The 14,745-nt window shown below is 36.4% G+C and overlaps 1 protein-coding gene and 1 long non-coding RNA gene across 2 annotated transcripts in view; both read left to right on the forward strand.

Moving 5' to 3' along the window:
• The window catches only part of LOC124901577 (uncharacterized), a 49,944-nt gene extending 37,224 nt beyond the window's left edge, over positions 1–12,720 (forward strand). The window contains exon 2 of the long non-coding RNA XR_007060196.1: positions 4,059–12,720. This is a non-coding gene — a long non-coding RNA (uncharacterized LOC124901577). The remainder of the gene's footprint in view (positions 1–4,058) is intronic.
• SDK1 (sidekick cell adhesion molecule 1) overlaps positions 1–14,745 on the forward strand; it is a 967,749-nt gene that overhangs the window by 134,759 nt on the left and 818,245 nt on the right. The window lies entirely within an intron of this gene.

Below are 14,745 nucleotides of genomic sequence, written 5' to 3' on the forward strand. Positions count from 1 at the left end.
AAATGAGCTTAATATCATGTGATTTGCATGATAAGTTATTTTAAAGAGTTTAAATCCATGATTGTTCAAAATAGGTTGTTTTATTTTCAATATAATATGGTTCTTAATTGTAACATTAATGAACACTGAAGACATTTTTAAGATTCATTTATGTAAAGTGATTTGATGAAGTAAGCTGACATTTGATGGACTTAGTGGAAGTTTAGACCCAATTTGCATTTCAGTGGTATTTTATGGCTGACTTTAGAAAACTTTTTAGATAGGATTTCTCGGTAAATTAAAGGATTTAGAGGGATGATTACGAAATAATTGATTAAAAAGTGTGCAATATTGGTTTTCATTGAACTTAAGCTTGTATGGGTTCAATTTAAAACCTAATTCAATACATTTTAGATTTTATATTTCCCTGAACCTCTTCTGCTGTATTAATTTTGTCATGCTTGTCATTCTAATCTAATGATGATTTAATGTTTGCAAACCTGAATAAATCTGTATGCAAGGAGTTTTGCTGTGTTTTTAATCAATGAAGATTGAAATTTGGCAACTGAGGTGATAAAAAATGAAAAATTTTAAATAGAAAATGAAAATAATGATTATACTTTAGAAAGTACTCTTATTAATGTTCTTGGCTATGAACCATGTAATATTTTTCTCTTATTTTTATCGTGTAATATTTTGAAGGTGACTGAACCTTAAAAGAAGTAATTGCCACTAAATCGTGAAGAATGTTTAAATTAGAACAGATTCTTTGTCCTCACTGTCTTCCCCTTTCCCTGAAATCTGTAGTCTAGAGTTGTGAATAAGAGCCAGAAGAATGTTAAACTGCCTTTTAAAAACTCGTCTACCCTCCCCAAGAACCTACATAGACAATAGAATGTTCTGTAATGAAAGTGTATCTTTACCTCATTATTTATTTATTTTATTGAGCAAAAAATGTAGAACATAGAATGTCTAACGGATTAGTCACAATAAAAAAAATTTCCTGGGTTATATATGTAAGGGGCAGCGGCTGCTCCTCTATCAGTCCAGGAGAGCCTGGTCTGATTTCACATTGCTTTTCTTTCCACATGATCTCATGACACTAAAAGACGATTAATACATCCTTTAAAAATCAATACGGGACATTTTACTGTAGTCCTTCACCTTTATTGTTCAGTACCCTTCAGGGGTGAAAGGAGATATTCCAATGCAAAAAATATGTCTGAAAACCTGAGTGGTAAGTAATAAAAGTTTTTTTTTCTCTTAAAAAGTCTTATAACATTGTTATTTCCCAGATTTGAGGGGTGGGCCTTGGGGTGGAATTAAAAAATCAGTGTAATCATTTGTAAGGACAAAATGCGAGTTTCTATAAAGAATGTTTTAGCATAATGTCACTAATGTTTTGCAGTGTGTAGAGAGCAAACTTTAAAAAAAGATGTGAAAATTTACAAACCAGTAATCCTCTATTTCATGTGCCAGCAGTCAAAATTACGTGTGATCGGCTGGGTGCAGTGGCTCACACTTGTAATCTCAGAGCTTTGGGAAGCTGAGGTGGGAAGATTGCTTGAGGTCAGGAGTTTGAGATCAGCCTGGGCAACAGCAAGACCCCTTCTCTACAAAAAATAAAGTTAGCTGGATGTGATGGTGCGCGCCTGTAGTCCCACCTATTTCAGGGGGCAGGGCTAGGAGTTTCAGGTTTCAGTGAGCTGTGATCGTGCCACTGCACTCCAGCCTGGGTGACAGAGTCGGATCCTGTCTCTGCCAAAAAATTAATAATACTAAAAAAATTAGATATGATTAAGGATACCAAAAAATTATTCAGATACCTTAGTGGAAGCTTTGGCTGAATAGAAGTTCCATCTTTTGTAGTACTGAAACCAAGTGAAGGGATTACGTAGTTGACATCTCTGAAAGAGAGAACGCAGTGGTAATGAGAATACTCCCCCTACGTTTGTGTATGAGCCTTGGCAGTTTCTTTTACACTCTCTCATTTAATCCTCTAAGACCTGAGACATTGTTGGGGCAAGTGGAATTATTCTGCATTTTATAGATGAAGAAATGGACTTGGAATAATTAAGTTATTTACAGCTAACCCGCACCCCAGATCTCTTGACCTAGCCCCCTGCATCCTGCCTTTGCCCCAGAGTGCTTTTAATGTTCTGCATTGCATGGTCTTTTTGTTCATTTTATTTTATGTATCATAGTTAATACTAAACTGAACGTTTGCTGCTAAGACCTATATTATTTTATATTCCCAATGAATATGACTTCTGCATAAAAACATTTAACTAGGGTAATCATTTTATAGTATGTGCCTGTTGTCTCTGCTATATCTATCACCTTCATGTGAAGACAGAGAAAATAGAATATGCTGTGTATTCGAAATAATTTCTTCTTTACAATGATGTATTCTAGATTCTAACATTTACATATGAGAGAAGCTTCATAAATGTTACGTTTTCTGTGGCCGCTATTTCTGTCTTATCTGTGCTGTCTACACAGTGAGGACAGCTGCAGAGACACTGCCAGTCTCATGAAGTGTCCATTGTGAAGGCCCATGTGTCAGTGCTGCTGATGGCATGCAGGAGTTGGTCAGTAGGATGGTTAAGAACATGGGCTCTGGAGTGGACGGTGTCTGGCTTCAATCTGGGGCTGTCACTTAGTTGGTGTGGGACCTCTCATCTCTATTGCCAACCCAAGTTTTTGATTCTTTCTTTCCTCAGTAAACTCTTAATCTTTCTGTCCTTGGAATCTTCTCCTTTCACTTCAAACAACTCATCTGTCTTTATCCTGAAAAGTTTATACTTTACTAAGTTCCATCATTGGCAGCAACCCTGTTTTCTTCCCCTTTGTATTAATATTTTTTTTTTTTTTTTTTTTGAGATGGAGTTTCACTCTTGTTGCCCAGGCTGGAGTGCAGTGGTGCGATCTTGGCTCACTGCAACCTCTGCCTCCTGGGTTGAAGTGATTCTCCTGCCTCAGCCTCCCGAGTAGTTGGGATTACTGTTGCCTGCTACCACGCCCAGCTCACTTTTGTATTTTTAGTAGAGATGGGGTTTTACCACGTTGGCCAGGCTGGTCTCAAACTCCTGACCTCTCGTGATCAGCCTGCCTCAGCCTCCCAAAGTGCTGGGATTACAGGTGTGAATCACCATGCCCGGCCCCCCTTTCTATTAATTATCCAACATCTCAAATGTGCAGTTCATCACATTTTTGGGGTGGTGGTTAGACACAATATAGTTAACCTATTTAGATAAATAAACTCTTTTATTTCCCCTGAGTGAACATTTCATCTAAAACGTGTGTCGCTTTCTTGCTTAAAAACCAATAAAGCTAATGTTTCTCAAGTCATCATATATGAGTAGCATGCAAGCTCCGGATGCAGCTGTTCCTCTAGAGACTACTGTTGCGCTCCTTACAAGCCTCTAGAGCACTAGTGAAGAGTAATGTTAGATTGTTTCGGGTTTGGTCAACCTTTCCTAAGACTCAGTGGACAGCAATCAGTTAATGTGCCAAGAAGCATAAGCTAAATCCAGATTGCAACATACTACTCATTCTGAATCTGTAAGGGAATGCCTCTGTGAGTCACTGTTGTGGGAATGTCCTGGGATGGCATAGTTAATACTTTCTAATGGGATTTAAAAAGTCAGTACATTTCTCTTTTTGAATTTGTTTCTTAATGATCTGATGCACTTTTGGATAAGATACAGCTTGCTTTATAGAACAGAAAAAACATTGTCATTTATACATGATTTAGCTTTATGATCATGATTTAAAGCCACCAGCTTTGTGGGAGGAAGATAGTGAGAATGGCCATGACAGCTTTAACTACACCCTTGAAGACCTCCTTGCTTACTAGAGGGCACTGTGCTGTCCTCAGATGCCCTGAGGCAGGTCAGATTGGGATAATAATTACATTAACTCCCAAACTACCCTGTGCTGGACTTTTTTTTTAAGTTATAGCTCTATGGAGATATAATTGAAATATAGTAAATGGGAAATATTTAAGATATATAATTTGATATGCTTTGACATATTCACAGTAGTCCCCTCTCACCTGCATATTCATTTTTTTGTAGTTTCAGTCACCTGTGGTCCGAAAACATTAAATGGAAATCCGGAAGTAAATAATTCATCAGTTTTAAATTGTGCACCGTCCTGAGTAGTGTGATGGAATCTCGCACCATCCCTTGTGCCCTGTAAAATGAAGGTGTATTCCAGAGAACAAAGGAAGGATGGAGCTTTTATAGAGCATCTTTCTGCCCAGGTTTGCATTCAGGTATATTTTTTCAAATGAAGGAGTCCACCTTGCTTAGTTCAGGTTGCTCAGTGCAAGTGATTTCTGATTGGTTGGTGCAGGCTATACAGTCTGTTGGTTCAGGTGGCCTGAACAGGAATGGTAAGCTGCGAAGGTTCGGAGTTAAACAGATGTGTAGGTTTTCTGGAAACTTGGGGTACATGTGTGACCATTAGACTCAGTTAGCCCCTCAGGATTCATCTTGAGGGATTTGCTCTTTGAGGTTCACAGTGATCAGATCAACTGTTGCAGTATCTCAGTGCTTGTGTTCAAGTAACCCTTATTTTAATTAATAATGACCACAAAGTATAGGAGTAGTGTTGTTGGCAATTAGGATGTGCCAGAGAGAAGATAGAAAGTGCTTCCTTTAAATGAAAAGGTGAACGTTCTTGACTTAAGAAGGAAAGAGAAAAATATGCTGAGGTTGCTAAGATTAAGAACAAATCTATCCATGAAATTGTGAAACAGGACAAGTAAATTTATGCTGGTCTTGCTGTTGCACCTCAAACTGCAAAAGTTATGGCCACAATGTGTATTAAGTGCTTAGTTAAGGTGGAAAGGTAAATTTGTGAGTGGAAGATACGAACCAAAAAGATGTTCCAATTGACAGCAATGTGTTGTGCCAGAATCATTCAGCCTATATGACGACTTGAGCAAGGGATCCCTTGAAATGAGTTACACCAAGTGAGGGATAGTTACACAGATTCAAGAATACAGATAATCAGTAGTAGCCTAATGCTGCGTCACAATGCATACGTCTTTCACCCTACTTCATCTCATTACATAGGCATTGTACCATGTCACATCATTACAAGAAGAAAGGTGAGTATAGTACAGTGAAATATTTTGAGACAGCCCATGTTCACATAACTATTATTACAGTATGTTATAATTCTATTTTATTACTAGTTATTGTTAATATTTTATTTTATGATTTATAAATTAAACTGTATCATAGGTAAATATGAATAGGAAAAAACAGTATATATAGGGTTCAGTACTATCTGGTTTCAGGCATTGACTGGGGCCTTTGAATGTATCTCTTGCAGATAAGGAGGACTCTTGTACATCATGACATGTGTGGATCCAAAATCTCAAAAAAACAAAAAACAAACAAAAAAAAACCAAAATCTCTTTTTGTGTGTGTACATGAATTGTTCCAGCACCATTTGTTGAAAAGGCTTCCCTTCCTTCACTGAATTGCCTATTCACTTTCTTGGAAATCACTTGTCCATGTATGTGTGGATCTATTTTTGGACTCTGTTTTGTTCCGTTGATACATTTGTGTCTCTTTGCAACCACTCTATTTTGATTGCTGTCACTTCATCATAATTCCTGAAGTCAGGTATCATTAGCCTCCCAACTTTGTTTTCCTTTTTAGAAACAGCTTGTTAGTTTCTACCAAAAGATATCCTGAGATTTTGACTGGGATTGCATTGGATCTTGTAAATCAATTTGGGTAGAATAGACATCTTAACAACATCGAGTCATTTCTGAGTCTCTCACATGTAAAACCATTATCTGCGTTTAAAATGTAAACCACTCAGTGTCACCGATCATAAACCAAAAGTGATACTTAGGGTACCTTGAAATTACATTAAGCAGAACACTGGGAATTGGTCTTTTTGCTTGATTTGCCTGAGTGATTCTCCACAAAATCCCCACTTAATATGATAGGTATGAATACGGGATGCCTTATCCAGAGCAGCTCTCCACAAGCATCCTCACGCCACAGATGCCAGTTGACCGTTACGTGTACTCACCTAGCCTGCTGGTACCTGCCAGATGGTGGGCATTTTGGGTGAGATTATGATAGATTTAAGCCAGAGGTTCAGGAATATCCACATTCTCCAAAAAAGAAGATTAAGCCATTATTATTGGGAGCAGCCTAATTCTAGTTATGAAGGAAAGAGATCAGGGTGCCATATGTACTTAGATAGCCATGTCTTTTATAGCACATAGCCTTTCATGTTAAAGCTCCGCATTTTTCTAAAGGAGTATTGATTATAGTAAGGAAGCCAAGGTTCAACTCGTGTATGTGTCAGGTAGCTGGATCATTCATTACCACCATAGGTGACACCCATGTTGATCAGTTACATAAAGACCACAAATGGAATGGTAACTGGGTCATTGCAAATTAACCCTTTCTGAAAGACAGTTCAGGACATATTTATCCTTGAGAGTGAGCCTACACTATCCTCCTAAGACCTCTCTTTTAAGTGGAGAATATACATTTTGGAAACAAGGTTGTATTGTGGTTGAGGGCATGAAGTCAACCTGCCTGAGTTCAAATCACCACTCTGCCCTTTTCTAACTTTTCAAATTTAGGGATTCACTTAGTTTCTCTAAGCCTATTTTCTTTGAGAATATGGAAAATTATTATAGTAACATGGGGAAATTAAAAGTGAGTAATTGTACAAGTTTAGTGCACTTGATATGTTTTGTTTTTAGCATATTTTCTCCATTTTTCCTTTTTCCTTTTGTGTGTTCTTGTTGCCAGTGACTACCTGTGAAATGTAAACTGTTGAGTGAACTGCTTTTGCTTTACTTTCTGTGAATTACTTGTTCTACTCACTGTGTTCTGTCTCTTCCATTCCCTCCGAACACTTTTGATCTTTTCGTTTTGCCCCAGTCTTCTTTCATTTAAAAACTAATTTCTCCCAAGAAGCCTGCTCTATAAAGGATGTGTAGATTAGATGAGGTGTGGGAAGCATGTTTACTTATAAAGCAACACAATACCCTATCCATATCCAGCCTGTAAAAATAAAAATCTAAGTGCTTTTTTTTTTTTTCCCTCCCAAGTAAAGAGAAAAGTTTCAGGGTTATATCCTTAACATGTAATTAAGAGAGTTCAAGATATTTTATGTTCTATATAGCAATGCAGAGAATATTTAATAAGCATTAACAAAAAAACTTAACCTTGTGGTAGATAGCATTGTACTAATTAACAGTTTATTTTATTTAGCTACAAGAACTATGTCAGCATGAGAGCTAACACTACTTATGTTTGACAATTTTAGAATAGGAATAAGGTAAAAATACTCAACAGAGATAATGGTAGCTTGCAAACCGTTTATGTCAAATATATTAAAATTTGGAATAGTTGAAGACTAGAATCCAAATTCAAGAGTAATTAACCAAAATAGTTGACAGATGTCAGCCATGCTAATAAAATTTGTATACCCTGAATATTTTCCAGCTTGTAATTAACTGCACAGATGATGTGATCTGATTTTGTCACTAACTGCTTATTAATGAAGGAGATGATGACTAGTTACAAAATCCATAGTGCTAGCTGAATTCCAAGTTTAAATGTTTCTCATACAGCCGGCATTAATTGGAGCCACACTAGCCTCCATGCTGGTTTGATTTGTGCTTACTTTCTTCATTTGTAATTGCGAAGGGGAAACTGAATTTGTTAAATTCAGCTCTGAGTGACCTTGAAGATAGTAAATCTGTTTTTATTTGGTGGTCAGCAGCGTAATGGCTTTTATTTTTAGATTCTTTCTTATAAATGTATTGTCATCAGGCTAGTGATATCACCATTGGAAGTTGTATAATAAAGTGCAAACTGATTATTTCAAGTTCAGCTAAACCACAGCAGAACATGATGTCAATATGACTGAAGATGTGAACACAGAGTGCTATTAACAAATGGTTTAATAACAAAAGAGCATTATTTATTTCTATCATATACATAGCACGGAAGCCTGAGAAGAAGCAAAAGGATTCAAGAGAGGCGGTTGTGCAGCCTTCCTGCCTGCGCCAGCTCTCTCCCAGACTCCTATACTGCTCTTCCTTCTTTACCTTACGTTGCTGTTTCCCTTTTTACTTCTTTCCCTGGAAAGGGCGGGTTTAATTCTGTCCTTATTTATAAGACAGAGATGTTTGCTACCTCCTGAGCCCAAGTCTGCCAGCTGTTGGCCTTCTTCTTTGGGTGGTCTCCCTGGCAGTGTGGTCTTACAGTATTTATGTCTGCCTGCTAGCTGGTTTTGCCTGTTGGACATCTCCACTTGGATGTCTACCAGACATCCCCAACTTCCATGTTCTTAGTGTCACTTTAATTTTCCTTTCCCCAAATTATTTTCTCTACCGTAGTCTCTTCTTTCTTATTTTTGTATTTCTGTGTTTAGGAGTGCTTAATGAATATTTATTGAGTCAATGGGTGATTTCATGATACAATTATAGTAGCAGGTAGTACTAAAAAGAGGAACTATTTTCTCCTTATTTAAGAACTTTTTATAAGAGAACTCTAGTTTTTCAAAATTCTGTTTAAAATGGGCCACCCAGAACTGGACACACTCTTCTGTTGTTCGTTAGTGTTCGCCTTAGATGGCCCCACCTCTCTGTCCCCTCTCTCTAGCTATGTATATTTCTTTTCAACAGTCAGTTGTTAGATTGCTGTCCTTGATTGGTTTTCTGTTTTCAGTAGGCCAGTCCCCAGCTAAATTGGGTGACCAACTTGGCTAATGTCCAGTTTTATCTAAAGTGATGTTCCCTGTTTGCACAGATGACTTTTTAAAATCTCCTGCAAATGTGATCCCCTTTAGAGCCCTACCTGCATGGTTTGAATAGCCTCAGTAGCCAATTTCACAAACAAAAATGTAAGGTCTATGTGATGTAGAGTAATAAGATAAGAAACTATTTCCTACTTACAAACTACTTTGAAAAATTTTGAAAGATGAGTTTAAAATGTTTAAAACATTGGTAATACCAGCAGAGTCAGTAGGCATATTTGTAGGATACTTAGTATAAATTTTGGTGTATTTATTTTCTTAAAATAAATCACAGTGAAATCATATTATTGTATCTTATAAAATGCCTTACTCTGTTGAAAAGGCAGATTTATATTAAAAACCTACTAGCTGCATTTATATTAAAATTGTTCACCTTATTAACAGGTCAAACAATATATTCTTTTAAGAATTCACATTTTAACACTTGGGTTTCAGCTGATAAAACTTATATGCATTTGGGTATAATCTTAGATACCTACAAAACAGCACCAAGACAAAAATGGGCTCAATAATAATGAGAGAGCAAGTATTTTAAAGAAAACAGAATTTACTGACTTTTACCATGGTTAGGTTAAGTTAGGTTAAACTGTGGAAGGAAATTGTGCTGTCTCTCCCCTAAAAAGTTTAAGAGCAAATTATCATCTTGAATGGTTTAGTTATTCACATGACTGAAGTTAGGAACCATTCCTTTTAACTTTTTATTTTGAAATAATTATAGATGTGTAAGGACTTGCAAAGATAGTACAGAGAGCTCTTTGTGCTCCTCACCTGGTTGCTCCTAATGGATATTGCTTATATAATTTAGTACACATCAAAATCAGAAAACTGACATTGGTACAATGTATATGTGTGGTTCTATGTCATTTTATGAACCTTCCTTGAACTCTTCTTACCCCACACTGTTTATAACTGTCTTACATATTTCTTCTACACACATTAAGAATCACATTAGACAATATTATTTTTGTTTCAGCCATCAAACATAATTTAGAAAACTCAAGAGAAGACAGTCTATTGTGTTTACCCATATTTTTGCTTATGTTTTTTCTTCCTTCCTTTCCTTCCTGATGTTCTAATATTCTCTTATCACTTTTGTTTTTTTCAACTTTCTTTACATATTCTTGAGGGTCGGTCTACTGGAGACAAATTCTCTTTATTATTTCAACTGAGAATGTCTTAATTTTTATCTTCATTTGCCAAGGATAATTTTGCTGGATATAGAATTTGCAGTTGACAGCTCTTTTCTTTCAGCCCTTGAAAAATGTTCTATTGCTCCCTTCTGGTCCTCTTTAGTTTCTAATGAGAAATTCTGTCATTTGAGTTGGTTTCCCTGTTAGGTAAGATCTCATTTCTTTCTCAAGACATGCTAATAATCATAAGATTGGTTATTGTAATTCAAGCAGCTACTATGTGCTTGGCATGGTGTATGCTGTCTGTAACCTTGAAACCCTCTATTATCTCTATTTTGTGGATAAAGAATCTGAAACTCATGCAAGTACATTAACTTAGCTAAGGTCACACAATTTAGAAATGTTTGAGTTAAGGTATGAACCAAGGCTTGTGTGCATCTAAAATTTTTGCACTTTATCATACAATTGCGGAAAGTTGGAGACAATCTTATAGTTGATAAGTTTTCTACCAGCATCTTACAGCAAAAATTACAATTTTTCTGCCAGTCCTTTCTTTGACTTTGAGTAGAATCTTAAAAAGACACTGTGTAAGAGCCACGAAACTTCCTTGCAGAAGCTGTATCATGCTAAATGTTTTGGATCAATTCAACTCAATTTAATAAGTCTCTGCTTTTAATTTCATTTTCTCACCGTGCATTATAAAATAGCATTTGTAGAATAAGTTAATAATAATTTTAAGCAATACCTATTTTCAAACAAGACAAAATTATTATTCTATTTGAATTCAATCCCTAACAAATAACTAGTATCAAATCAGTGGTACTGCAAAGAATAGTTAATATCCAGGGTATTGTTTTAGCTGCAAGTGTTTGTGGATTACTGAACAGTCAAGTGGGTTTGCTTTGAGATTATTGCTTTCCCATGTGTTTATTCTCTTCACAGTCTTTTTCAGTTGTTGCCTGGTTCATCTTTTTAGACATCATGTAATTGGTAGAACAACAGTCAAGAAAAAGGTTGAAAAAAAATACAGATGAGTTCTCTGGAGATACGATGAAGCAATCTGAGTGAATCATGATGTGCAGTGGGCTTTAGGTTTCTATTTTTGTGCAAGGGACCGATTATAGAGCTCTGAACTTGAAATCTTATTAAAATCTCTGAAGATGCAGTAGAATACATCTCATTTAAGAAGTGTTCTCTAAGAGATTTATAATTCAGTATTGTTTATATATGTCTTAGTATATTAGATATTATTCATTAACCTATATTAGAGGAGACAATATTTTACTTAATATTTTCTTAAGTTACAAAAGTAAAATAACTTAATAGTAACAATTGGAATGATTAACATATTGTGAAGCGAAACTTATCTTTACCCTAGCTGATTGTGTACCATCTCTTCTCAAATAATGTGATATTAATCTCCAACTGATGTTAACATTGTAGGGTGTATCTCTTCATACTCTTCCCCATGCTCAAACAAGTACACACACACACTCACTTACTCTTCACATGTGTTGGACTTCAATAATAATAAATGTATGCTTCATAAATTGGACCATTCGCTAAGTTGCCCCCCACCCCATTCTTCTAGGACAGTATGTATAGAACAGAATCACTTAAAATTAACTGGAGTGTATTCTATAGTATGAATGTACTAATTAATTCAGTTATTGCATATTGATGTACATTTGGGTGGCTTCCTGTGAGGTATTGTTTTTTGTTTCTGTTATAAACAATGAGACGGTAAATATCTTAGCTTATATATCTTTTTTTTTTTTTTTTTTTTTTGAGATAGAGTTTCACTCTCGTTGCCCAGGCTGGAGTGCAATGGCATGATCTCGGCTCACCGCAACCTCTGCCTCCCGGGTTCAAGTGATTCTCCTGCCTCAGCCTCTCGAGTAGCTGGGATTATAAGCATGCGCCACCATGCCTGGCTAATTTCGTATTTTTAGTAGAGACAGGGTTTCTCCATGTTAGTCAGGCTGGTCTCGAATTCCCGAGCTCAGGTGATCCACCCACCTCAGCCTCCCACAGTGCTGGGATTGCAGGTGTGAGCCACTGCACCCGGCCTATATATCTTTATTCTTACACAACAATGCTTTGATTTCCAGAGGGTAGGTTTCTGATAATGGGACTGACAGTTCAAGGGATATGTATACTTAACATTGTATAGATATTAGTAGATTTCTTTCCTAAATGTTTACTGCAGTCTTGTATAAGGTTCATTTTATCACATCTTTAACAGCACTAGGTGTTATCACTCTTTAAGCAAATGTGATCGGTGAAAACTGCTATCTCGTTGCTTTAAGTTGCATTTGCTGAATATTGGTGAAGTTGAACGGCTTATGTTTATTGGCCATTTCAGTTTTGTCTTGTGTGAATTTCTGCTCATATTATCTGGCCATTTTTCTATTGAGTTGCCTTTTACTTACCAGTTTCTGGGAGTAGTTTTTATATTAGGGATATTAACTGTTTGGTTATTTATTTTGGAAGTTTTCCCAGTCTATGTATTTTTGAAGTGGTTTAGGGTATTTTTTTTTGCTCTAGAATAAATTAAAATATATGTAATCACATTGATCTATCTTTGTTTAGGTTTTCCATCTTAGTTCTACAAATATTTGCCTAAATTCTCTTATGAATGTTACTGTCTTATTTTTTATATAAATATCTTTTAATTCATCTGGATTTTACTTCTATATATGGTGAGATATGTGAGTCAAGCTTTGCATTTTTGTAGATATCTAGCCACTTATTATGCTAATGCCATTTAGTAAATAAACCACCCTTTCTTTCTGAATTTAAATGCCATCAGTACTTTAAAAAAATATTTAAATGGTTACATTTTTCCCCAGCTTAACCCATTTTCAGTAAGGTAATGACTTTTTAAAAGCAGGATTTAGTAAGTTGAAAAGGTTATTTCTCTTTGCTCAAATGTCAAATGCTACCTGTTACTCTTTATTGTTTCTGGCTAAAATTGCGAGCACAGGAAGGATTATTCCTGCGAACAAATTCACTAATCAGCTTGCAACCTAACAATTTTAAGACCCTGGGGAAAAAAGGGAAAGTTTGGGATATTTACTCATTTCTTCTGTAAAAGCAATAACATGTAAACATAGTGAAGAAAGGCATTTATGGAATCTAAGAAGGAAAGCTCTTTGCTTTTCACATACAGAGAAATTAGGATTCATTGAGTCCTTTCTTTACAACATAAGCTCTGTAGGAATGGTTCTCCAAGTAAAGCTGTGTGTCACGTTTTGGGGCTAGGGGTGCCTCAAAGCTGCACCTACAGAGAGATCTGAAGGCAAATTGCCGATTTCACACTTTTATTTTGGGCTCATCCTTTATGCCCTGCACAGAGCGATCAGATCCATACACATCTTACTTTCATTCATTGTGGAAATAATGTCCTCAGGCTTGGTGGTACAAAATCGTGCTTTCTACAGTCTTCTGCTAGGAAATGTTTATTGGATTTAGCTGCCATTATACAAATGATGAAGGAGAGGCAAAGTAACTCCAGTATCTCTAGCCAGGAGTGGCTTGAAGAATTGTATCAGTTACAGATTTGAGAAGATTTGACTATATGTTGAATTAGGTTAGATCATCTTTATAATTAGAAGTAGGCTTTTGGAGTACAAAGAATTCTTCTGTAAACACCTTGAATATTTAACAGGAAGGCCATAAGGAAATATAATGTGCTACATTCCTAGGATAGAATAACATGCAGCTATTAAATAGCACATTTTGTGAATATTTAATAGTAGCATTTAAACCCAAAAGACACTGAGCGGCAGAGACCTGTGTAACTAGTTTGTTCGTTCATTTCTTCATTCAGCCAATATTTACTGAACATCAGCTGTGCTTTCAGCATTTTGTGAGGCTCTGGGGAATAAAGATGAAGGGTGTAGTCTTTGCCCTCCTATAGCTTAGGAGCTAGTGGACACTCAGGTTACATCATTGCAGAACTGTTTATTAACAATTAGCCACGTGTCCAGGATGCCATGAAAACGTAGAGGGGAACACACAAATCAGACTGGCTGTTGGGGGGTCGACGAGACTTCATGGAAGTGGTCACATCGGAGCTGCGCTCCAGAGGAAGAAAGGAATTAACCAGGCATAAAGGTTGAGGGTGGTTGGAGGGAGAGGAGCTTTCAACTAGGGGTGAATAGTAAATATAGACACTGAAGAAAAATGGAAATGTGTGTGGTAAAGTCCGTTATTCTGTATAATTGGATCATATGTATGTGCACATGTGTTCATATTTATCGATATGTGAGAGATGATGTATAGAGTTTGGTAATAGTGAGGAAGACCTCTTACCCCAAACTAAGGTGACTGGTTTTGTCTTGAAAGTGGGTTATAGTAAGTAGGGGAGTGGTCTCTTCACTGCTGTTTAGAAGGACTTCTCTGGACAAATGTGTGGATGAGGTATTATTAAGCCCAGGATCTTGAAGATGAGTAGAATGGTAGCATAATAATCTGGGTGAGAAATGTTTGGGGCAGATAATAAAGTGGGATGTTTGAGAGAGATTTTAAGAAGTAGCAGTGCTAGCATTTGGGATATAAAGGAAGGGAAGGGGTCTAGGATGATACGTAGATTTCTAGTTTGGAACAAGTAGACTTGCAGGGATTTGGTTTATGAAAACGAGGGGAGGAATGAGTTTGGGAATGGGAAGCTAGTGAGTTCTGTTTTAGACTTAAATGTTTGGAGGCTTTTAGGGTTTTGTGGGGACAAATGAAGATCTTTATTGGTTGGCTGAATAGATCTGACCTTAGCTCATGTGAAAAGAGTTGGAGATTTTGACATTATCAGTGTATATAGGTG

The sequence above is a fragment of the Homo sapiens genome, chromosome 7 (genome assembly GCF_000001405.40).
Source record: "Homo sapiens chromosome 7, GRCh38.p14 Primary Assembly".
In the NCBI taxonomy this organism is placed as follows: Eukaryota; Metazoa; Chordata; class Mammalia; order Primates; family Hominidae; genus Homo; species Homo sapiens.